Source organism: Homo sapiens, chromosome X (assembly GCF_000001405.40).
Source record: "Homo sapiens chromosome X, GRCh38.p14 Primary Assembly".
NCBI classification, from domain to species: domain Eukaryota; kingdom Metazoa; phylum Chordata; class Mammalia; order Primates; family Hominidae; genus Homo; species Homo sapiens.
Genome location: NC_000023.11, coordinates 78,323,261 through 78,347,640, shown reverse-complemented (window position 1 = coordinate 78,347,640; position 24,380 = coordinate 78,323,261). Strand labels below are relative to the sequence as shown.

Genomic DNA, 24,380 nt, shown 5'->3' with positions numbered 1-24,380 from the left:
TCACTGGGACGCAGAATCAGAACATGGAGATTGGTGCCACAGACATTTGCTAACTTGTGTGCTAGAAGGACTAAGGAAAACTAGGAAGAAGACTATGAATTATTCAGTGATGTCCACTATAACGGGGAAAGGAAGAAAATCCTACTGCCTTTCTTGAGAGACTAAGGGAGGCATTGAGGAAGCATACCTCTCTGTCACCTGACTCTATTGAAGGCCAACTAATCTTAAAGGATAAGTTTATCACTCAGTCAGCTGCAGACATTAGAAAAAACTTCAAAAGTCCACCTTAGGCCCGGAGCAAAACTTAGAAATCCCATTGAACTTGACAACCTCGGTTTTGTATAATAGAGATCAGGAGGAGCAGATGGAATGGGACAAACGATATAAGAAAAAGGCCACTGCTTTAGTCATGGCCCTCAGGCAGCAGACTTTGGAGGCTCTGGAACACAGAAAGCCTGGGCAAATAGAATGCCTAAAAGGGCTTGCTTCCAGTGCTGTCTACAAGGACACATTAAAAAAGATTGTCCAAATAGAAATAAGCTGCCCTCTCGTCTATGCCCCTTATGTCAAGAGAATCACTGGAAGGCCCACAGCCCCAGGGAATGAAGATCCTCTGAGTCAGAAGCCACTAACCAGATGATCCAGCAGCAGGACTGAGGGTGCCCAGGGCAAGTGCCAGCCCATGCCATCACCCTCATAGAGCCCCGGGTATGCTTGACCATTGAGGGCCAGGAGTTTAACTGTCTCCTGGACACTGGTGTGAGCTTCTCAGTCTTACTCTCCTGTCCCGGAAAACTGTCCTCCAGGTCTGTCACTATCCGAGGGGTCCTAGGACAGCCAGTCATTAGATACTTCTCACAGCCACTAAGTTGTGACTGGGGAACTTCACTCTTTTCACATGCTTTTCTAATTATGCCTGAAAGCCCCACTCCCTTGTTAGGGGGAAACATTCTAGCAAAAGCAGGGGCCATTATACACCTGAACACAGGAGAAGGAACACCCATTTGTTGTCCCCTGCTTGAGGAAGGAATTAATGTGCATTAATACTCACCATTCTAACTGGCGTGAGATGTATCTCATTGTGGTTTTGATTTGCATTTCTCTGATGACCAGTGATGATGAGCTTTTTTTCATATGTTTGTTGGCCACATAAATGTCTTCTTTTGAGAAGTGTCTGTTCATATCCTTTGCCCACTTTTTGATGGGGTTGTTTTTTCTTGTAAACTTGTTTACAAGTTCCTTGTAGATTCTGGATATTAGCCCTTTGCCAGATGGGGAGATTGCAAAAATTTTCTCCCATTCTGTAGGTTGCCTGTTCACTCTGATGAAAGTTTCCTTTGCTCTTCAGAAACTCTTTAGTTTAATTAGACCCCATTTGTCAGTTTTGGCCTTTGTTGCCATTGCTTTTGGTGTTTTAGTCATGAAGTCTTTGCCCATGCCTATATCCTGAATGGTATTGCCTAGGTTTTCTTATGGTTTTAGGTCTACATTTAAGTCTTTAATCATCTTAAGTTAATTTTTGTATATGGCATAAGAAGGGGTCCAGTTTCAGTTTTCTGCATATGGCTAGCCAGTTTTCCCAACAACTTTTATTAAATAGGGAATCCTTTCCCCATTGTTTGTTTTTGCCAGATTTGTCAAAGATCAGATGGTTGTAGATGTGTGGTGTTGTTTCTGAGGCCTCTCTTCTGTTCCATTGGTCCATATATCTGTTTTGGTACAAGTACCATGCTGTTTTGGTTACTGTAGCCTTGTAGTATAGTTTGAAGTCAGGTAGCATGATGCCTTCAGCTTTGTTCTTTTTGCTTAGGATTGTCTTGGCTATGCGGGATATTTTTTGGTTCCATATGAAATTTAAAGTATTTTTTTTAATTCTGTGAAGAAAGTCAATAGTAGCTTCATGGGGTTAGCATTGAATCTATAAATTACTTTGGACAGTATGACCATTTTCACGATATTGATTCTTCCTATCCATGTACGTGAAATGTTTTTCCAATTGTTTGTTTCCTCTCTTATTTCCTTGAGCAGTGGTTTGTAGTTCTCCTTGAAGAGGTCCTTCACATCCCTTGTAAGTTATATTCCTAGGTATTTTATTCTCTTTGTAGCAATTGTGAATGGGAGTTCACCCATGATTTGGCTCTCTGATTGTCTATTATTGGTGCATAGGAATGCTTGTAATTTTTGCACCTTGATTTTGTATCCTGAGGCTTTGCCAAAGTTGCTTATCAGCTTAACTAGATTTGGGGCTGAGATGATGGGGTTTTCTAAATATACAATCATGTCATCTGCAAACAGAGAAAATTTGACTTCCTCTCTTCCTATTTGAATGCATTCTATTTCATTCTCTTCCTGATTGCCCTGGCCAGAACTTCCAATACTATGTTGAATAAGAGTGGTGAGAGAGGGCATCCTTGTCTTGCACCAGTTTTCAAAGGGAATGCTTCCAGCTTTTGCCCAATCAGTATGATATCGGCTGTGGGTTTGTCATGAATAGCTGTTATTATTTTGAGATATGTTCCACCAATACCTAGTTTATTGAGAGTTTTTAGCATGAAGTGGTGTTAAATTTTATCAAAAGGTTTTCTGCATCTATTGAGATAATTGTGGTTTTTGTGATTGGTTCTGTTTATTTGATGGATTACATTTATTGATTTGCATATGTTGAGCCAGCCTTGCACCCCAAGGATAAAGCCAGCTTGATCATGGTGGATAAGCTTTCTGATGTGCTGCTGGGGTCGGTTTGCCAGTATTTTATTAAGGATTTTCACATCAATGTTCATCAGGGATATTGGCCTGAAATGGTCTTTTTTTCTTGTGTTTCTGCCAGGTTTTGGTATCAGGATAATGCTGGCCTCATGGAATGAGTAGGGAGGAGTCCCTCTTTGTCTATTTTTTGGAATAGTTTCAGAAGGAATGGTACCAGCTCGTCTTTGTACCTCTCATACAATTCGGCTGTGAATCCATCTGGTCCTGGGCTTTTTTGGTTCGTAGGCTATTAATTACTGCATCAATTTCAGAACTTGTTATTGGTCTATTCAGGGATTCGACTTCTTTCTGTTTCAGTCTTGGGAGGGTCTATGTGTCCAGGAATTTATCCATTTCTTCTAGATTTTTTAGTTTATTTGTGTAGAGGTGTTTATAGTATTCTCTGATGGTAGTTTGTATTTCTGTGGGATCAGTAGCGATATCCCCTTTATCATTTGTTATTGTGTCTATTTGTTTCTTCTCTCTCTTCTTCTTTATTAGTCTGGCTAGTGGTCTATTTTGTTAATCTTTTCATAAAACCACCTCCTGGATTAATTAATTTTTTGAAGGGTTTTTCATGTCTCTATCTCCTTCAGTTCGGCTCTGATCTTAGTTATTTCTTGTCTTCTGCTAGCTTTTGAATTTGTTTGCTCTTGCTTCTCTAGTTTCCTTAATTCTAATGTTAGTGTGTCAAATTTAGATCTTTCCTGATTTCTTTTGGGCATTTAGTGTTCTAAATTTCCTTCTAAACACTGCTTTAGCTGTGTCCCAGAGATTCTGGTACATTGTGTCTTTGTCCTAATTGGTTTCAAAGAACATCTTTATTTCTGCCTTCATTTGGATATTTACCCAGTAGTCATTAAGGCACAGGTTGTTCAGTTTCTAGGTAGTTGTGTGGTTTTGGGTGAGTTTCTTAATCCTAAGTTCTAATTTTATTTCACTGTGGTCTGAGAGACTGTTTGTTATGATTTCCATTCTTTTGCATTTGTTTAGGAGTGTTTTACTTCCAATTATGAGGTCAATTTTAGAATAAGTGTGATATGGTGCTAAGAAGAATGTGTATTCTGTTGATTTGGGGTGGAGAGTTCTGTAGATGTCTGTTAGGTCCACTTGATCCAGAGCTGAGTTCAAACTGTGAATATCCTTGTTAATTTTTTGTCTCATTGATCTGTCTAATATTGACAGTGGGGTGTTAAACTCTCCCAGTATTATTGTGTGGGATTCTAAGTCTCTTTGTAGGTCTCTAAGAACTTGTTTTATGAATCTGGGTGCTCCTGTATTGGGTGTATATATGTTTAGGATAGTTAGCTCTTCTTGTTTCATTGATCCCTTTACCATTATGTAATGCCCTTATTTGTCTTTTTTGATCTTTGTTGGTTTAAAGTCTGTTTTATTAAAGACTAGAATTGCAACCCCTGCTTTTTTTTTGCTGTCCATTTGCTTGTTAAATATTGCTCAATTCCTTTATTTTGAGCCTATGTGTGTCTTTCCATGTGAGATGCATCTCCTGAAGACAGCACACCGATGGGTTTTGACTCTATCAAATTTGCCAGTCTGTGTCTTTTAATTGGAGCATTTAGCCCATTTACATTTAAGGTTAATATTGTTATGTGTGAATTTGATCCTGTCATTATGATGCTAGCTGGTAATTTTGCCCATTAGTTGATGTAGTTTCTTCATAGTGTCGATGGTCTTTACAATTTGGTAGGTTTTTACAGTGGCTGGTGCCATCTTTCTTTTCCATATTTAGTGCTTCCTTCAGGAGCTCTTGTAAGGCAGGCCTGGCAGTGACAAAATCTCTCAGCATTTGCTTGTCTGTAATGGATTTTATTTCTCCTTCACTTAGGAAGCTTAGTTTGGCTTGATATGAAATTCTGGGTTAAAAAAATTTTTTTAAAGAATATTGAATATTGGTCCCCACTCTCTTCTGGCTTGTAGGGTTTCTGCCGAGAGATCTGCTGTTAGTATGATGGGCTTTTCTTTGTGTGTAACCCGGCCTTTCTTTCTGGCTGCCCTTAACATTTTTTCCTTCATTTCAACCTTGGTGAATCTGACAATTATGTGTCTTGGGGTTGTTCTTCTTGAGTAGGCTGTGCGTACTTGCAGATGACATTATTTATATAGAAATTACAAGGAATCTTAAAAGGTCCTAGAACTAATAAGTGAGCTTATCAAGCCCATAGGATACAAGGTCAACATATAAAAATCAACCATATTTTTATACTAACAATGAACTCATGAAACCAAATTTTAAAATACAATCACATTTACAATTACTCCAAACAAAATGAAATACTTAGTTATGAATCAAAAAACACATATGCAGGACTATTATGCTAAAAATTACAAAGTGTTGACCAAAGAAGAACAAAGAAATTGATGAAGAGACAAATTATGTTCATGGAGTAAATGATTAAACATAGTAAAGATATCATTTTTCTGCAAATTAATCTATAGGCATAACACAATATCAAAATCTCAGCAAGGGTTTTTGTAGACAGAGAAAAGTTTATTCTAAAATTTATGTGGAAAGGCATGAGACTTAGAATAGCTAAGACAATATTGAAAAAGAAAAATAAAGTGAAACAATCACTCTACCCAATTTTATGAATTTATAAATTGCTAGATTAATAATCACAATGCGCTATTGGCATATGGATAGACATGTAGATCACTGCAAATAAACAGAAAACCTAGAAGTAGATCCATACACTTATACCCACCTGATCTTTGACAAAGGTACAAAAGCAAGTCAGTGAAGGAAGATAGCCTTTTCAACAAATGACACCAAAACAATTAGAATCCATAGGCAAAAATAATAATAATAGTCTCCATCAATGCCTCATACCTTATACAAATATATATATATATATTTTTTGAGATGGAGTCTTGCTCTGTTACCAGGCTGGAGTGCAGTGACATGATATCGGCTCACAGCAACCTCTGCCTCCCAGGTTCAAGCAATTCTACTGCCTCAGCCTCCCAAGTAGCTGGGATTACAGGCACAAGCCACCACGCCCAGCTAATTTTTGTATTTTTAGTAAAGACAGGGCTTCACCATGTTGGCCAGGATGGTCTCAATCTCTTGACCTCATGATCTACCCACCTCGGCCTCCCAAAGTGCTGGGATTACAGGTGTGAGCCACCACACCTGGCCACCTTATACAAATATTAACTCAAAATGGGTCACAGAGTTAAATATAAAACATAGAACTATAAAATCTTTAGAAAAAAGCATAGGAAATCATCTTCAGGATCCAGGGCTGAGCAAAAATGTCAAAGTTGACATCAAAAGCATAAGCCATAGGAGAAAAAATTGATAAATTGGACCTCATTAAATTAAAAATGTTTGTTCTGAAAAATAACCTGTTGAGAATAAGAAAAGACAAGCTACAGATTTAGAGAAAATATTTGCCAAGACATATCTGACAAAGGACAGGTGTCAACAATATATAAAGGATCCTCCAAATTCAATAATAATAATAGCAATCCAATTAGAAAATGGACAATAAAATTATAAATGAAAAAAGAGTCATTATAACTGTTACCACATAAACAGAAAGAACCATAAGAGATTGCTATAAACAATTATATGCCAACAAATTGTATAATCTACAAGAAATGGATCAATTCCTAGAAACATAAAACCTATGAAGACTAAATAATAAAGAAATAGAAAATGTGAACATACCAATATGGAGTAATGAAGTTGAATTGAATTGCTAATCAAAAACTTCCCAATAAAGAAAACTTTAGGACCAAATAGCTTTACTGGTAAATTCTATCAAACATTTAAAGATTAATTTTTAACAATCTTTCTCAAGATATTCCAAAAAAATTGAAGAGGAGGAAACATTTTTAAACTCATTTTACAAGGCCAGAATTACCCTCATACCCAAACCAGATAAGAATGCTGCAATAAAAGAAAATTCTTTTTTCAAAGAAAAAAATCCAAAAGACAGAAACTTCGAAAACAAGGAACATAAGCCCATACAGATGAGGAAAACAAAATATGCAAGAACTTTGGCAACTCAAGAAGCTACAGTGTCTTCTTACCTCCAAAAACTGCACTAGTTTCCCAGCAATGGTTCTTATCCAGGCTGAAATGGCTGAAATGTCAGAATTCATAATATGGATAGGAACAAATATAATTGACATTCAGGAGAAAGTTGAAACCCAATCCAAAGAACCTAAGAAATAAAAACAAAAAAATACTGGAGATAAAAGATGAGATGATCATTTTAAGAAAAAAAACACAGATGATAGAGATGAAATACTCACTTCAATAATTTTATTATATAATAGCAAGTATTAACAGGAGAATCAATAAAGCCAAGGAAACAATATCAGAACTTGGAGAACAGTTTTTCAAATAAACTCAATCAGACAAAAATAAAGAAAAACCAAAAAGAAGAATAAAGAGAACTTCTAAGAAACATGGGATTATGTAGAGAGACAAAATCTATGACTCACTGGCATCTCTGAAAGAGAGGGAGAGAAAACAAGCAACTTGGGAAATATACTTGAGGATACTATCCACAAAAATTTCCCCAACCTCACTAGGGAGGCCAACATTTAAATCTAGGAAATGCAGAGAACCCCAGCAAGATACTATACAAGATAACCATTCCCATGACACATTGTCATCAGATTCTCCAAGGTCAATATGAAAGGAAAAATATTAAAAGCAGCTAGAGAGAAGGAGCAGCTTACCTACAAAGGGAACGTTATCAGGCTAACAGTGGACTTCTCAGCAGAAACTCTATAAGCCAGAAGAGATTTGGGGTCCATATTCAGCATTCTTAAAGAAAAGAAATTCCAATCAAGAATTTTCTATCAAGCCAAACTAAGAATCATAAGTGAAGGAGAAGTAAGATCCTTTTCAGACAAGCAAATGCTAAATGCATTCATTATCATCAGACCTGCCTTATAAAAAGTCCTTCGGGGAGTGCTAAATATGGAAAGGAAACACTGCTACTTGCCACCACAAAAATATACTTAAGTATGAAGACAATGGACACTATAAAGCAACCACACAGTCAAGTCTGTATAATAACCAGCTAACAATACAATAACAGGATCAAACCTATACATATAAATATTAACCTTTAATTTAAATGGGCTAAATATCCCAATTAAAAGGCACAGAGTGGCAAGCTGAATAAAGAGGCAAGATCCAACTGTATGTTATCTACAAGAGACCTGTCTCACGTGCAGTGACATCCATAGGCTCAAAGTAAAGAGATGGAGAAAAATCTACCAGGCAAATTGAAAACAGAAAATAGCTGCAGTTCCTATTCTAATTTCAAAAAAGTCAGACTTAATACCAACAATGTTTTAAAAAACAAAGAAGGGCATTACATAATGATAAAGGATTCAATTGAATAAGAACACCCAACTATCTTAAATATATATATACCCAATACAAGAGCACCCAGATTCATTAAGCAAGTTCTTAGAGACCAACAAAGACACTTAGATAACCATACAATAATTGTGGGAGATGTGAACACCCCACTGATGGTATTAGATCATTGAGGCAGAAAACTAACAAAGATATTCAAGATCTGAACTCAACATTTGACCAAATGAACATCTACAGAACAGACCAAGTAGACATCTACAGAACTCTCCACCTCAAAACAACAGAACATACATTCTCTTCATCTGCACAGGGCATCTACTCTAAAACCGACCACACAATTGGCCATAAAACAATCCTCAGCAAATTCAAAAAACGAAACAAAACAAAATCATACCAAACACATTCTCGTACCACAGTGCAATAAAAATAGAAATCAATACTAAGAAAATTGTTCAAAACCATACAATTACATAAAAATTAAACAACCTGCTCCAGAATGACTTTTGGGTAAACAATGAAATTAAGACAGAAATCAAGACATTCTTTGAAATTAATGAGAACAAAGATATAATACATCAGAATCTCTGGGACACAGACAAAGCAGTAAGAGGGAACTTTATAGCACTAAATGCTCACATCAAAATTTAGAAATATCTCAAATTAACAACCTAACATCACACATAGAAGAACCAGGGAAACAAGAGCAAACCAACCCCAAAGCTAGAAGAAGACAAGAAATAACCAAAATTAGAGCTGAACTGAAGGAAATTAAAATGCAAAAAAAAAACCATTTAAAAGATCAATGAATCCAGAGGTTGCTTCCTTGAAACAATTAATAAGATTTTTAGATTACAGAACGCTGGCTAGATTAATAAAGCATAAAGAGAGCAGATCTAAATGAACATAATCAGAAATGACAAAAGGGACATTATCACCAACCCTACAATAATACAGAAAACCCTCAGAGACTGCTACAAACACTTCTATGCACAAAAATAGAAAACTTAGAAGAAATGGATAAATTCTTCAAAAGATACAAGATCTCAAGATTGAACCAGGAGGAAATTATATACCTGAATAGACCAAAAATGAGTTCTAAAATTGAGTCAGTAATAAAAAGCCTGCCAACCAGAAAATGCCCAGGACCATATGGATTTACAGCTGAATTCTACCAGATGTATAAAGAAGAGTTGGTACCATTCCTACTAGAACTATTCTAAAAATTTGAGAAGGAGGGACTCCTTTCTTAATTCATTCTGTGAGGCCAGCCTCATCCTGATACCAAAACCTGGCAGAGACACAGCAAAAGAAAACTTCAGGCCAAGATTCTTGATGAACATATATGTAAAAATACTAAAAAAAAAAAAATACTAGGAAACCAAATCCACCAGCACATCAAAAACTAGTCCACCATGACCAAGTAGGTTTTATCCCTGGAATGCAAGATTGGTTCAATGTACACAAATCAAAAAAAGTGATTCACCACATAAACAGAATGAAAAACAAAAACCGCATTATTATATCAATAGATGCAGAAAAAGCTTTTGATAAAATTCAACATCCCTTCATGTTAAAAACCCTCTACAAAGGAGGCATTGAAGAAACATACCTCAAAATAATAAGAGCCAACTATGACAAACCCATAGCCAACATCATACAGAATGGGCAAAACCTAGAAGCATTCCCTTTGAGAACCAGCACAAGACAAGGATACCCACTGTCACCATTCCTATTCAACATAATACTGGAAGTCCTGCACAGAACAATCAGGCAAGAGAAAGAAATAAAAGGTAACCAAATAGGAAGAGAGGAAGTCAAGCTAGCTCTCTTTGCAGATGATACAATTTTATACCAAGAAAACCCTATAGTCTCTCCCCCACAGCTCCTAGCTCTGATAAACAAACTTCAGGAAAGTTTCAGGATACAAAATCAATGTACAAAAATCAGTAACATTTCTATACATCAGCAACATCCAAGCTGAGAGTCAAATCAGAATGCAATCGCATTTACAATAGCCACAAAAAGAATAAAATACCTAGGAATAAAGCTAACAAGGAAGATGAAAGATCTCTACAATGATAATTACAAATCACTGCTGAAAGAAATCAGAGATGACACAAACGGAAAAACATTTCATGCTCGTGGATAAAAAGAATCAATATTGTTAAAATGACAATACTGCCCAAAGCAATTAACAGTTTCAATGCTATCCATATCAAATTCCCAGTGGCATTCTTCACAAAATTAAGAAAAAAACATTTTAAAATTCATATTGAAACAAAACAGAGCCCAAAACCCAAGGCAATCCTAGGCAAGAAGAACAAAGCTGGAGGCATCAGATTACCAACTTCAAATTATACTACAAGGCTACAGTGACCAAAAAAGGATGGTACTGGTACAAAAATAGACACATAGAACAATGGAGCAGAAAACAGAGCCCAGAAATAAAGCCACACACCTACAACTATCTGATCTTCAACAAAGTCGAGAAAAACAAGCAATGGGAAAAGGAGTCCCTATTCAACAAATTGTGCTGGGATAACTGGCTACCCATATGCAGAAGAATGAAACTGGATCCCTTCCTTAATCCATATACAAAAATCAATTCAATATGGATTAAAGACTTAAACATAAGACCTAAAACTATAAAAGCCCTGAAAGATACCTAGGAAATACCATTCTGGACATAGGCCTGGCAAAAATTTCATGATGAAGATGCCAAAAGTAATTGCAACAAAAAGAACAATAGACAAATGGGACCTAATTAAACTAAAGAGCTCCTGCACAACAAAAGGAACTATCAACAGAGTAAACAGCCAGTCTACAGAATGGGAGAAAATATGCATTTGACAAAGGTCTAACATCCAGAATCTATGAGAAACTCAAATGAATGTACAAGCAAAAAACAAACAACTTCATTAAAAGGTGGACAAATGACATGAGTAGACACTTCAAAAGAAGACATACATATGACCAACAAGCATATTAAAAAATGCTCAACATCACTAATCATCAGAGAAATGCAAATCAAAACTACAATGAGATACCATCTCACACCAGTCAGAATGGCTGTCATTAAAAAGTCAAAAAATAACAGATGTTGGTGAGGTTGTGAGGAAAGGGGAATGTTTATATGCTGTTGGTGGGAATAAAAATTAGTTTAGCCATTGTGGAAAGCAATGTAGAGATTTCCCAAAGAACTTAAAATAGAACTACCATTTGACCCAGCAATCCCATTACTGGGTATATACCCAAAGGAAAGTAAACCATTCTTCCATAAAGAATATAAACCATTCTTCCTTACACATATGAATGCCTATGTTCATCACAGCACGAGTCACAATAGCAGAGTCATGGAATCAATGTAAATGCCCATCAACAGTAAACTGGGTAACAAAAATGTGGTGCATATATGCCATGGCAGCTGTAAAAAAGAATGAGATCATGTCCTTTGCAGCAATATGGATGGACCTGGAGGTCATAATCCTAAGCGAAATGAGGTAGAAACAGAAAACCAAATACTGCATATTCTCACTTGTAAGTGGGAGTTAAAAATTGAGTACACATGGACAGAAAGAAGAGAACAACAGACACTGTGGCCTCCATGACTGTGGAGGGTGGGAGGAGGGAAAGGATCATAAAACAACCTATCTGGTACCATGCGTATCACCTGAGTGATGAAATAATGTGTACATCAAATCCCCATGACATATAATTTACCTATATAACAAACCTGCAAATGTACTCCTGAACCAAAAATCAAAGTTAAAAATACAAGAAAATTTTTGAAAAGGAAACCATAAAGAGTCCATGAAAAAAAAACTGTTAAAACTAATAAATTCAGTAAATTTGTAGAATACAAAATCAACATACAAAAATCAGTTGTATTTCTATATACTAACAATGAACCCTCTGAAAAAGAAATTAAGAAAACTATCCTCTTCATGACAGCATCAAAAAAATACTTATTTATATAGAATGCTATCAGCACTTCCTGCTTAAAACAGGAAGGAAGAGAAGAACTGATAGTTATAAACCCAAAATGAGTAAAATGAGGCCTTTTAATCTCGGGAACAAAAAGACAGACTCTTACAGCTACCATTTTGACTACTCATGACTGCAGCTTGTTTGTTAGTTTGTTTAAATTATATTGGACTCAAGACAGCCTGGAGATTGAATAATTGTCAGATTCAAGAATGTGCTTCATTTAGAAATCAAAGTGAGCGTTAGAACCATTTCAGAGGAGAAAGGATGCCAATAATATCTTGCTGCAAAAAAAACGTTCAATGTTACCTAACAAGAGCATTCCATAACTGACACTAAGCTGATAAATAATAATCTTAGAATTTTATAATGCATTCCCATTTTCAAAGTGCTTTCACAGACCTCATTTGATCAACAGTGAGAATCATAAAAGCAATAGTTGAGGCTCTATATTAAGAGATTTGACAAAAGTTATCAGTTTGAGTGCCTGAACACCATAATCCTTCACTCCTCATCCTATTAAGTGTGTTTTCCTATTCTCCTGGTTCTATTATTTCCACAAAGGAAAATGTTCAACCAACCAGTAACCACATATTTGCCCCCCAACCCAGCACACAACACACAATTTGGCCCACAGTTTTTCTGTATGGGTGAGAAATAAATTGTTAGGCATGGAAGAAAAGGCAATCTACAAACTGACAAAATGAATCTGAGGTTAATCCACAGATGCATGACCCAAATCAAAAATGATGAAACTAAACAAGCTGAGCCCTTGTTCTATAACCATAGCTATTATACTTCTAGGGATCCAGCTTAGCCCCATGAGACACATATTTTTATGTGTTCTCTGAAGTCCAGGAAAAAATATCTGCATTTTTGTTTGTTTTAGTCAAGGTCAAAGCCTTGACCAGGCAATACAGACAGAATAGGGATGCACATATTTATTAGGAAATAATCGACATCAGGAAAAGCACTTCTGATCATCTGTAAGCAAAACCAAAAGAAAAATCACCAAACAAGGATAAAATGAAAGGCCTGTGGAAATATTATACCCCCCAAAATATCAAGATTATGTTTTGTATTCAAATTTGTAACCAATGTTCCCTGAAGACTCACCTATACAAACTATCAAGTCAGCAGAGTTAAGATGTAGGAAAGTTCTTAATGCTCCAAACCAGAAATCATTCTTTCAGACAGTGTCTAATTCCAGTCTGGCAACTTTAAAATATAAATAACTCTGAGAGAGCAAAACCATAGTGTAAATAAAAATAAAGCTACATTTACTGGAAACATAATTTGTGCCAGGCACTGTTACATTTAAGGCTTTTAACCACCCCATAACATAGTCAAATTATTGGCCCCATTTTACAGACAAGGAATCTGGGGAACCAAGAGCTGGAAGTTGGATAACTTGTCCAAAATCACAACCAGTAAATGGTGAAACAAAGATTCCGCCCAAATCTATTTACCTCCAAAGCGTAAGCTATTAACAACTAGGGCATACAACCTCTCAGAATGCTGTTTCTTCTGCAGCACTCTACCTCCTCTAGGGGAGGGGATGCTGAAATGAAAAAAGAAAAAGAGGGAGTAGGTGAAAATATATTTGATTTGCTTCAAAAATTTTGCCCAAGCTAGTACTGTTGGTATTTTTTGAAAGCCAGGATGTTTCATCAAGAGAGGTGAAGCTAGGTTAAGGGCTGGGCCCTAAAATCAAATATTTAAATCAATTTCCCTTGGCTAGAGGGTTAGCTGGTCCCTGCTGAGGTAAAGGAAATATGCCAAAGACAACTTCAGAGCATGTCTCTGGGGAATTTCCCCTGTTACTAGGAAACAACAGAGAGGTTGTTTTTACAGCTATTTACAGTTCACAAGCACTTTCATGTGCATTAGCTCACTGTTCCCAGTGCAGTACAGGGTGGATAGCATTATCCCTTTAGTCTTATTAATTACAAATGAGAAAACTGAGACTCATAAGATGTAAGTGACTTGCTGTGCCCCAGGTCATACCAAAAGTGATGGAGCCAAAATAAACCTAGGTCTTGGGATTCCAATTTCAAGCCAAGTGAATGTTTTCCATTTACCTTCAGAGAACTCCAACAGCTAAGGCAGTTTTACAAATAGTACTTCAATTGTCCCTAAGCCTTGTTCTTACACCACTCCCTAACACACAAAAACAAGCAGGAAATACATACAAATAACACCTGGCAGATGCTGCTGTTGTGGTAAACATGGCTCCATATGTAAAAGTGGTCCTTTGCAACTAGATACTCAATGGCAATAATTCCCTGCCCTGGGAGGATAACACCCTTCAAGACCCCAAGTTATCTCAAAGTTACCCAAATATGTCTCTCCAAGAAAATATTTATAAGAAGGCATGCAGTATTTTGGGTGAGAGAAGGCATTGGGTAGGAGAGGAGGATGAAGACATAGGCAATAAAATAATTTTATCTGCATAATACCTTACGGTTTATAAAGCCTTTTCATGTCTTTCATATTATTTGATTTTTAAATTCTGTGAAATAAACAGAGCCAAGATTATTGTGATTATTTTTTCTAATAAGAACACTAAGACTCAGAATGTTGGAATAATCTATCCAAGGATGGAAAAAAAGTCATCTTGAGGGAGCCTCAGGGCTTTTGAGGGATCCTCTCTGGATTCAGTTTCCTCACCTATAATATGAAAGGGTGGGACTAGATTTATTTATTCAACAAATCAAACAAAGCAACACTACAACTAATTTGCATCATAAGTTTCCTCATATGTAGAATAAGAGGAAGACATGGATGCTCTCCCTGGTTCTCTTCAGCTCCAACATTCTATGGAAATAGAATCTGCAGGACTCTAGAACTCACCCAGATTTGCAGGGCAAGCTGAAATTTGGCCCAGGCTCTCTGTCTCCCAAACCTGCCTGGTGAGTAAGAGTGGGGGGGTTGACTCTATAATCTAGACATCCTCTCTGTATCCTTCCCATGCCCACCAACCCAGGGCGTTAAAGTCACCATTACCTGCATCTTCTCATTGTATAATCCATGGTATGTTTTTCACATCCAGTTCTCCCCATCGATAGTGGATGATCTCTCCTATGACAGTCAGTCTTTGGGCCAATTCTCATTAATGAATCTGAATTTTTTCAGAATTTTTATTTATTTTTACTTTTATATTTATGTTCAGGGGTACATGTACAGGTTTGTTACGTGGGTAAATTATGTGTTACTGAGGCTTGGTGTACAAATGATTTTGTCACCCAGGTAGTAAGCATAGCACCTGATAGGTAGTTTTTTGACCCTTGTCCCCTCCCAAACTCCCCCCTCAAGTAGTACCCAGTGTCTATTGTTCCTATCTTTATGTCCATGTGTGTTCAATGTTTAGCTCCCACTTATAAGTGAGAACATGCATTATTTCTAAACTTGACACATTTTTAAGTGATTGTAGATAATCTCCCTAATTAAGGAAAGGCCTAGCTCTCACTGAAGGTCTTTGCCTAATTCCTCCATTACTGTTCCTCTCCTGTAGCAAAAGTTGAGGTAAGAGCAAGTCTAACTGGCTCCAGTTCCTAGGCTTGGAGACCATGAAGCAGGTTTCCTGACCACACACACCCGCAGACTCTCTGTCACCTCAGCTGCCAAAATTTCCTCCAACCCAGCCCACTTCCCCATCCATACTCATCTCCAGCTGAACTCAGGGGCAAACACTAAGCAGCAGGAAGTAAAGCTGGAGCTCATCATAATCATGACACCTTTCATTTGTATAACTTTTTTGTTTTTTTTTGTTTGTTTGTTTTTTTATTGAACCTTTATGAATATTTTCTCTTTTGGTCTTGTCAGGAGAGAAAGGCAAGAACTGCAAAAATTTATGTAAAGGAGCTCTCTCATCCATGCTAACCAGATCCCACGCCCCCCAAAACACTTTAAAGCCCACAAATAGAGTCACACACACTCAATGTGCTTGAACCATGCTCAGAGATCCACACTGAATATAAATAAATATGTAGAGGTAGAAACAAATCTGCTTCCTCTTCATAGATGCCCAAAAGCCTGTATTCTTTTCCCAGCTTTGGCACTTAATTATATGAACTTGTACTGATATTCTTTACCCCAAGCTAGGTATTAATTTTAACAACTGTCCTAACTTTGTGCTGTTCAATGCAGTAGCCACATTCACATGTGGCTATGTGGCTATACTACTGAGTGCCTGAAATGTGGCTAGTGTAATTAAAATACAGAACTATTTATTTATTTTATTAATTTACAGTTAAATCTAAATAACCAGGTGTGGCTAGTGGTTAGTGCATGGCTAGTGGTGACAGCACAAAATAATGTACATAGTAATGTAACATTATTTAGATGATCTGTACCATCCTTCCTAGGTGGTCTGTGCTGTTCTGTTCACAGGGTTCATTCAACCTCATCCAGCACTCTCAGTTAGAGGGCCCTTGCCTCACTAAAAATGACAATCCAGGGTTGTTTTATACCCATGGAATAGGCCCTGGGGCAGGAAAAAGGAAAGTTGTAATAGCCATATTTCTACAGCCAGCCTGATTTTTTTCATTGTCTCCGTGTTTCTATAAGCTGGAACTAAAAGTTGAATCATGGCTATTCTAGTCTCTGTGAATGAATGTGATAAAAGAAAATCCTTAGACAAATTAAAGTTAACAGAGTTTAATTGAGCAAAGAACAATTTGTGAATCAGGCAGTTTCCAAACCAGAAAAGGTTCAGAGAGGCTCCAGTGCTGAGGTATGGTTGAAGATTTATAGATAGAAAAAGGAAAGTGATGTACAGCAAGTCAAAGTGAAATACAGAAACAGCTGGATTGGTTACAGCTTGGCATTTTCCTTATTTGAACATAGTTGGAACAGGTGGTTACCTTCGTTTGGTCAATCTTGATGACTGGTACAAGAGTAGGTTACAGTCTGTTTATACTTCTAGTTAGGTTTTAGTTCACTATGTACAGAGAAATCTTTAGGCTGAACTTAAAATATTTCCAGGAGACAGCTTTAGGCTAAACTTAATTTAACAAGCATATATGTCTGTATAGAGCTGGGCTTTGAGTATAGTCATGCTCTTTACCCTTCCAAAGTGCAATTAGTATTGGCTGTGAAAAAATTTCAGTCCTGGAGAAAGAAAAATTACTATTTTTGATTTTGTGGTAAAATAATGGCATCTTGAGAGAGCCTCTTTCTAGCCTGCTTTTTCATCTATAATATGAAAGGGTTGGACTAGATTTATTTATTCAACAAACCAAACAAGGCAATGAGCTAACAGCTGAGGACACAATGATGAATCAGACATGTCATACCCTCACAAATTCAATTTAATATAAAGTCTGAACCAGATGATGATTTTTCATTACCTCTTTCAGCTCTGAGTCCACATAAGCTATGAATCCTGTCACTTACGTGTGAACGCTGTTGTGACTGAAAATTCTTTATCTTGCTACCCAAGTCTTACTTCATTGAGACAGATTTCCCATCCAACTACATGTTATCCCCCCTCTCCCTCACCACTCCCTATTTGGTCTTCCTTACCTCAATAAGAAAGTAAGAACTGAAGGAGTCTGGGAAAATGAGCAAGAGTAGAGAGACAGCAGCAGACAGGTATCATTCTGGGCACTTCAACCTTTCCTAAAGTGAAAGAGAATGTGAGAGTAGATATGTAATGAAGATGGATGGATGGGAAGAGAAAAGATAAAGAGATGAAGCAAGGAGACAAGGAGTCTGATGTCATTTATAGCAAATGTGGTGTAAATTGATCCAGCTGTACAAGGCAAAGACCCATTTGGGAATGGGTGAATCACTGCCTTCCCCATTGCTCAAGAACAGAAAATTAGCTAATGAAAGAAACAGGTAGGGGAGCACAAAGAAGAACCACAGGAAACACCCTCTCTGCCACAGCTATTTCGGTGCCAACTTGAAGCTCAAGGATTGAAGGGGGCCTGCCCCTCCACGCCTGTGGGTATTTCTCATCAGGTGGTACGAGAGACTGAGAAAAGAAATGACACAGAGACAAAGTATAGAGAAAGAACAGTGGGCCCAGGGGACCGGCAGCCTCAGCATGTGAGGACCTGCACCAGCGCTGGTCTCTGAGTTCCCTCAGTATTTATTGATCATTATTTTTACTATCTTGGCAAGGGGAGTGTAGCAGAGCAACAGGTGGGGAGAAGGTCAGCAGGAAAACGTGAGCAAAGGATCTGTATCATGCATAAATTCAAGGAAAGGTACTGTGCCTGGATGTGCATGTAGGCCAGATTTATGTTTCACTTTATACAAACACCTCAGTGTAGCAAAGAGTAACAGAGCAGTATTTCTGCCAGCATATCTCGCCTCTAGCCACAGGGCGGTTTTATCCTATCTCAGAATAGAAAGAATGGGAATGGTTGGCTTTACAGGAGACATTCCATTCCCAGGGAGGAGCAGGAGACAGAAGCCTTCCTCTTATCTCAACTGCAAAGAGACCTCCCTCTTTCACTACTCCTCCTCAGCAGAGACCCTTTACGGGTGTTGTGCTGGGGTATGGTATCAAAGCAGAAACAATTTTTCCTGGTACAGATCAAAATGGAATTTCTTGTGTCTTCCTTTTCTACATAGACACAGTAACAATCTGATCTCTCTTATCCCCACAAAGGATCTAGCTCCTTTCTCTTTTCTTCATTTCCTGAGTATGAATTGCCCTTCCACTGTAGCTCAAAATGGCTGTAACATTTCAGACTGGAGGAAAAGTGATAATTCACTCTGTGTCTCACTTATAAATTTTCCTGTAGATATTTGGGGATCCAAACTCAGTTGAAGAAATACTAGTTTGAATGTCAGTTTAGTTACTAAAACTCCCTAGGAGAGGATTAGAAAGTCTAGTCTTGAATCCAAATGTTAACATCCCTTCAAATGTGGTTGGATAGCCTTTTCCTCCAACTATCACCATCACCACCACAATCCAGAACTCTGTGAAAAGAGATAAAGATTCAAGGGCCTTAAAGCGATTGTCCCAGGTTGGTTGTGAGGTAATTCTTGTACCTAAAGATACAAAATTTGAGTAAATGACTTTGTTCCTACAGCAGGTAGCAAGCCAGAAGGCTACTGCTGGGCTCATATTTTACAAGTACCTAAAACTAGTTGTTAGTTATGGGGCATGTTTACAAAGTGTTAACATCAACATATTTATGCCCATCTCCATATAGAATCTTCTTAATATAACTCAAGATAATTGATGTAACAAATTCACATCATGATCTTACCAATTTGGTTTTTAACATCAAAGTGCTGCCCCAGGCTTCAATCAGCACATACCAGACTGCTATGTCCCTTTTCTCCAGAAGCCATATTGAGCACCCCACAGCTCTAACACCTCAGAGCCTAGCCAAAGGCCAAGAACACTTGCCTGATCCCCCAAATTTCCAACACAGGACCATTGACAGCAAGCCCAGTCATTCCAGATCATCTTCAGTGGGACAAAAAAAGAAAACAACAGTTTTAATCCAATGGAGGCAATTTATTGTTATGAAGATTTCAGGAAACAAAGCTCAAAAAGGAACCAGAAAGGAAAAGGCTTTTTAGAATGTGGATAGAGCCACAAGTGTCATTAAGGAGAGAGAGAGAGAAACGGAGAGATGAAATTTATGTTACTTAAGATCAAGTTTCACATAATGCCAGTTATATTAGCATATACTGGCAGGATTATCTTTCCCCACCTACAAATAGTCTAATGACCTCACAGTCACAGAAATCACAGAGAACTAAGCTGAAGAGAGAACACTCGTCCCTGCTTCCCATCTTAGAGCAGCTGAATAATTTCCTGAGAATTCTATTCCTGAAGCTAGGAAGAAAAGTTTATTTATACATACACGCAACCTGCAAGTCTCCAGTTTCTATTCTTCCTTCCTCTTTGACCCTTCCCCTCCCCCACTTTGCACCAGAGAAGTCAGACTCCGGGAGTGCTTTAACAGTTTGAAGGCTAATCTGAAAGAGGAAGAAGAATCTGTATATCTGTATATATTGGCTAGCAAATGTGCCCTGCTCTCTCCCCTCTTAAAAATAGCAGCAACCCATCTTTGCAAAGAAGCTTGCCTATAGAGCAGGCACTCTGTGAATGGACTGTGCTTTTACGACCCTACAGGGTATCAAGATACTGTGCAGCTCGCCAACAAGGATTAATTGCAAGGACTGGTAGATCGAATTTACTGAAGACTTGGAGCTTGCTTCTGAGAACAAACGCAAAAGGACAGTAAACTGTGGACCTTGAAGTTAGCAGGTAAGGAGACTCAGTATTCAGTACTAAGACCAGAACAGTATGTAGTAAAATGTTGCTGATGGTAAATTTTAGCAAATTCCCAGGAGTTTGGGGATAAGTTATCTGCCTTGCCTGCTTTAAGTTTGGGTGCTAGTATGAATTCTTTCTGCTTTATTTCTTAGCCAGAAATCTGATAATATGATCAGTCTGTCAACAAATATTGCTCAGTGCTTCTGCTAGGGCTCAACGTGGCAAAATACAGAGGAGACACACTCCGCAAACCTCCTGTGCCTTTGTAATTTAAGCCAGAAATGTAAGATACATTTTCAAATCCCCATTTTGAGGGTTCAGTGGAGTTTCTCTAATGTAGTGACATTTTCCTTCAATATGGAAAATAAATATGTAGTAATTACTGAAGGTAAACCAGTGGAGAGTAAAATTTTCACAAGGTAGTTTCACATTTGTTATCCCACCTGAACCTTTCAACATCCTATAATTTAGACAAGGTAGGTGTTACTGTCCATGTTTATGAATGAGAAAATTGACTCAGAGAGGCTAAAAAATTTTCTTGAAACACACCGTACAACTAGAAAATGGCCAGTTCTGGCCAGAGACTGTAAAAATAAAGCTCTCTCAACTATAAATGAATAGAAGAAAATTGCATGATCTATTTAGTAACTCAGACACATCTGGTGTAGACTAAGTTTACACAGAGCCAAAGATTCATACATTTTAATAAAATCTTTAGCCAGGAACATTTTTCTACTTAGCGACAAAAAAGGCTGTTTTCAAGAGGAAACAAATGGGTTTGTAAGTTCCACCTACTGAATTCAGTGGTTCTGCTTTCCAGTATTCTGATTATTTTGAAACCTAGAGAGAAACTATGATACCATATGTCTAACAAATGATTATTTTAAAAGAAATTGTAACTAAATCTGGACTAGATTGTACACTGTTTTAAAAACAAAAATATTTATATTTTTACAATGCATTATAAAATACAAAGGACTGTATTACATTTAAAATACATTAGGAAAATTTGTTACAAGACAATTTTAACTTTATTACAGAAGTCTTAATCATTCAGAAATGTTTTCTGTTGTTGTTTTACTATTAATGGCTCAATTAGAACTAAAAGCTATCTGTTTTTACATCATAAACAACCTCAAGTGCTATATTTACATTCATCCATGATAAAAAAATTTTCCCCAGTTCCCCTAAGTATTGACTACACCAGCCAATCAGGGTTCCTCCAAATAAAATAAGTCAGTTTGGGAGCCAGTAAGCACACAGATAATGGTAGGTTAAGAAAAGTTTGCTATTTGCTTTTAGACTTAATCTAGCATGTTAGTGTATTCCTAATCAAGAATCATCAATTCTCATTTTCTACTACCTCCCCTTAATGAAATTTTGATGCATTTAGAAACTATTTATCTGTCATAAAAGCAAGACTCTTCCACAGTATAGAAAATTATAAATTTGTATTTTCAGTATAATTGACCAATAATAAAGGATAATAAAGGGAAGGTGCTGATTCTTAAGGTACATACCCAACCTTGTGAATTCAATACTATGAATGGTAACTATCATAATCTCCCAAATAACATTGCCCTGTATGGACCTCTACTTTGGTCCATTTTGTTATTCTCATGTTCCTAACACCTAACAGTGGCTGCTCTAAACTATCTTGCTGCATGGATTTCAATGGGAGAGAAACGGGGTAACTGGGATAACTGGGAGTTCACCCTTGTTTTGACATGTAAACAACTGGGTGTTCTCTGGCAAGTTAACAGCCATTAGTATTTCTTGGTTCCTTTGTGTATCTAATGCAGTAATGAGCTGATAGGAATATTTTCTAAATCTCTTAAAATGATAAATATAAAATCTGAAAGCGACTTGAAAATACAAACCACCATCAGAAGGATTTTGTTTAAATTCCATTCATTCCAGGTGGATAAACATATAACAAAACTGACTGCATGGGGAGACAGTAGGGCTAGCTACTTTCTACTCCCTAGACTATATTGCTAGGTCAGGGACATCACTCTAAGTCTCAGCAACCTCATCCTACTCTTAGGACCTGTCAGTAGCATCAAACACTCTGGATTATAGTTGTCACTAGCCCTACAATACTTATGCACACCTCAATGTGAACTCTAAAAGGAATAAAATATTTAAGAGTAGTATTTAAAAAGTATTTCTGTGAAAGCACTATCCACCTTTTGTTGTTACTACTTTAACCAAGCCCATTGATTCTTAGGATTATATGCTAAGGATTAAAATAGTTTTTTGCAGCAAGTTTTGAATGCAACACAATATCCCACTACTCTTTCATAAAACCACTTGTTCAATCACAGATTTGGTTATAATACAAATCACGTTTTTAAAATATATAAGTATGTCTAGTTGTGTGTGTGTGTGTGTGTGTGTCTAAAATAGAAAGACCTAAAGTCACTTTTATCTCTCACTCCAGTGTTATTTGCGTTTCAGGCCACATGAACATCTATGTGGTATGATTTAAGGGTCAGTGAGAAAAGCTTTCCCAGTTCAATCAGATATGAACAAACTGTTGAAAGATATATTTATATTAGTCAACCCTACAAAAGATAGATTAGTCAGTATGCCAATTTGTTGCTTTGCAGTGCAGAAATAAAACTGTTGGCTGGGTGTGGTGGCTCATGCCTGTAATCCCAGCACTTTGGGAGGCCGAGGTGGGCAGATCACAAGGTCAAGAGATTGAGACCATCCTGGCCAATATGGTGAAACCCCATCTCTACTAAAAATACAAAAATTAGCTGGGTGTCATGAGGCATGCCTGTAGTCCCAGCTACTCGAGAGGCTGAGGCAGGAGAATCGCTTGAACCCGGGTGGTGGAGGTCGCAGTGAGCCGAGATCGCGCCACTGCACTCAAGCCGGGCGACAAAGCGAGACTCCGTCTCAAAAAACAAACAAACAAACAAACAAAAAACTGCTAAGAAGTCTGATAGACTCATAGCAAGAAGTACATATCCTCATCCCTACAGAAAAGGCAATAAAGAAAGCCATTCCTTTATCTAATTTGATTAGATAAATCCAGACATCTTAGGTCCATTAATTCATGTTACAATCAAGGTGCTAAAACACCCTCAGATGGCAATTACTTTTGCCTTTAATTAAGATTTCTTTATGGATTAGTAGAAAAGGCCACTGTATAAATTCTTCTATCCTGCTGCTTCATTCTGTCTCATCCCACTCCATCTCATCATGACCTCTCCTTTCTCTGTGCCCCACAGTCCTTCTTCTAGATTGGGGTGGTGGGTTCATATGGAAGAAAAGAGAAAAAAATACTTTAAATTTGGGGGATAAGTTAGGAAGAGGTCCTTATAGAAATAGAGGAAAAGAGAGAGAAGAGTAAACATAAGCCCTTGGACATTTAACACATAGTTGATTTTCCTTTTGATGAATAAAATGTCATTATCTTGCTTAGAGTGCTTTCAGAATCAATACAACCCAGACATTTGAGCTCCTACATATGTGGAACTGATAGAAAAGAAACAGGAGTTCAGATCTAGACTTGAGGTCCTTGAGCTAAAGAAAAAATAGGAGACATTTGGGCATTCTTTTATTTTTCATCAATCCCTTTTCCCTAAAAGGGAAAGAAAAATCCAGTTTTGAATAGCATTTCAAGATGTCTAAAGTATATGACTTCTTAAGATTTCTCATAAATTTCAGATTAACAGTGTTTGTTTCTACAAAGGGTTGTCTTTGTGTTGTCATGGATTCACCAAGCTAAGTAGAATTGAGCTAATAATAACAACACTCAAACATCTCAGATGTGTCTTACATACTTATTCCAAAGTTCCTAGGAAATACTCAGGCCTCAGAAGGTAATAAGGCTTCTTTTCATTCCAAATTGGTTACCATTTGTGTTTGATCTGAATTTGAATTCTTACTTAAGACAAAGGGCCTTAAATAAAAAGCAATCTCCTAGAGAACAACTCTTTTGCAAGAGCCAGACATCTAAATGCCAAGATGATAGAAGCAGGCCTCAGAGTTAGCTGTAAGCAATGACCTCAGAACATCAGA

At 37.3% G+C, this 24,380-nt stretch overlaps 1 protein-coding gene across 4 annotated transcripts in view, besides 1 other annotated feature; it reads left to right on the top strand.

Moving 5' to 3' along the window:
* Window positions 19,809-19,858: an enhancer, noted in NCBI's record as "active region_29787". NCBI's record gives its function as "activates an Ori minimal core promoter by ATAC-STARR-seq in GM12878 lymphoblastoid cells {active_cell/tissue: GM12878}" and the evidence as "EXISTENCE:reporter gene assay evidence [ECO:0000049][PMID:35858748]".
* Window positions 20,030-24,380, top strand: part of CYSLTR1 (cysteinyl leukotriene receptor 1) — a 56,144-nt gene continuing 51,793 nt past the window's right edge. For all 4 annotated transcript variants that reach the window (NM_001282186.2, NM_006639.4, NM_001282187.2 and 1 more), the window contains exon 1: window positions 20,030-20,336. The gene's annotated coding sequence lies outside the window, so the exon portion shown is untranslated. The remainder of the gene's footprint in view (window positions 20,337-24,380) is intronic.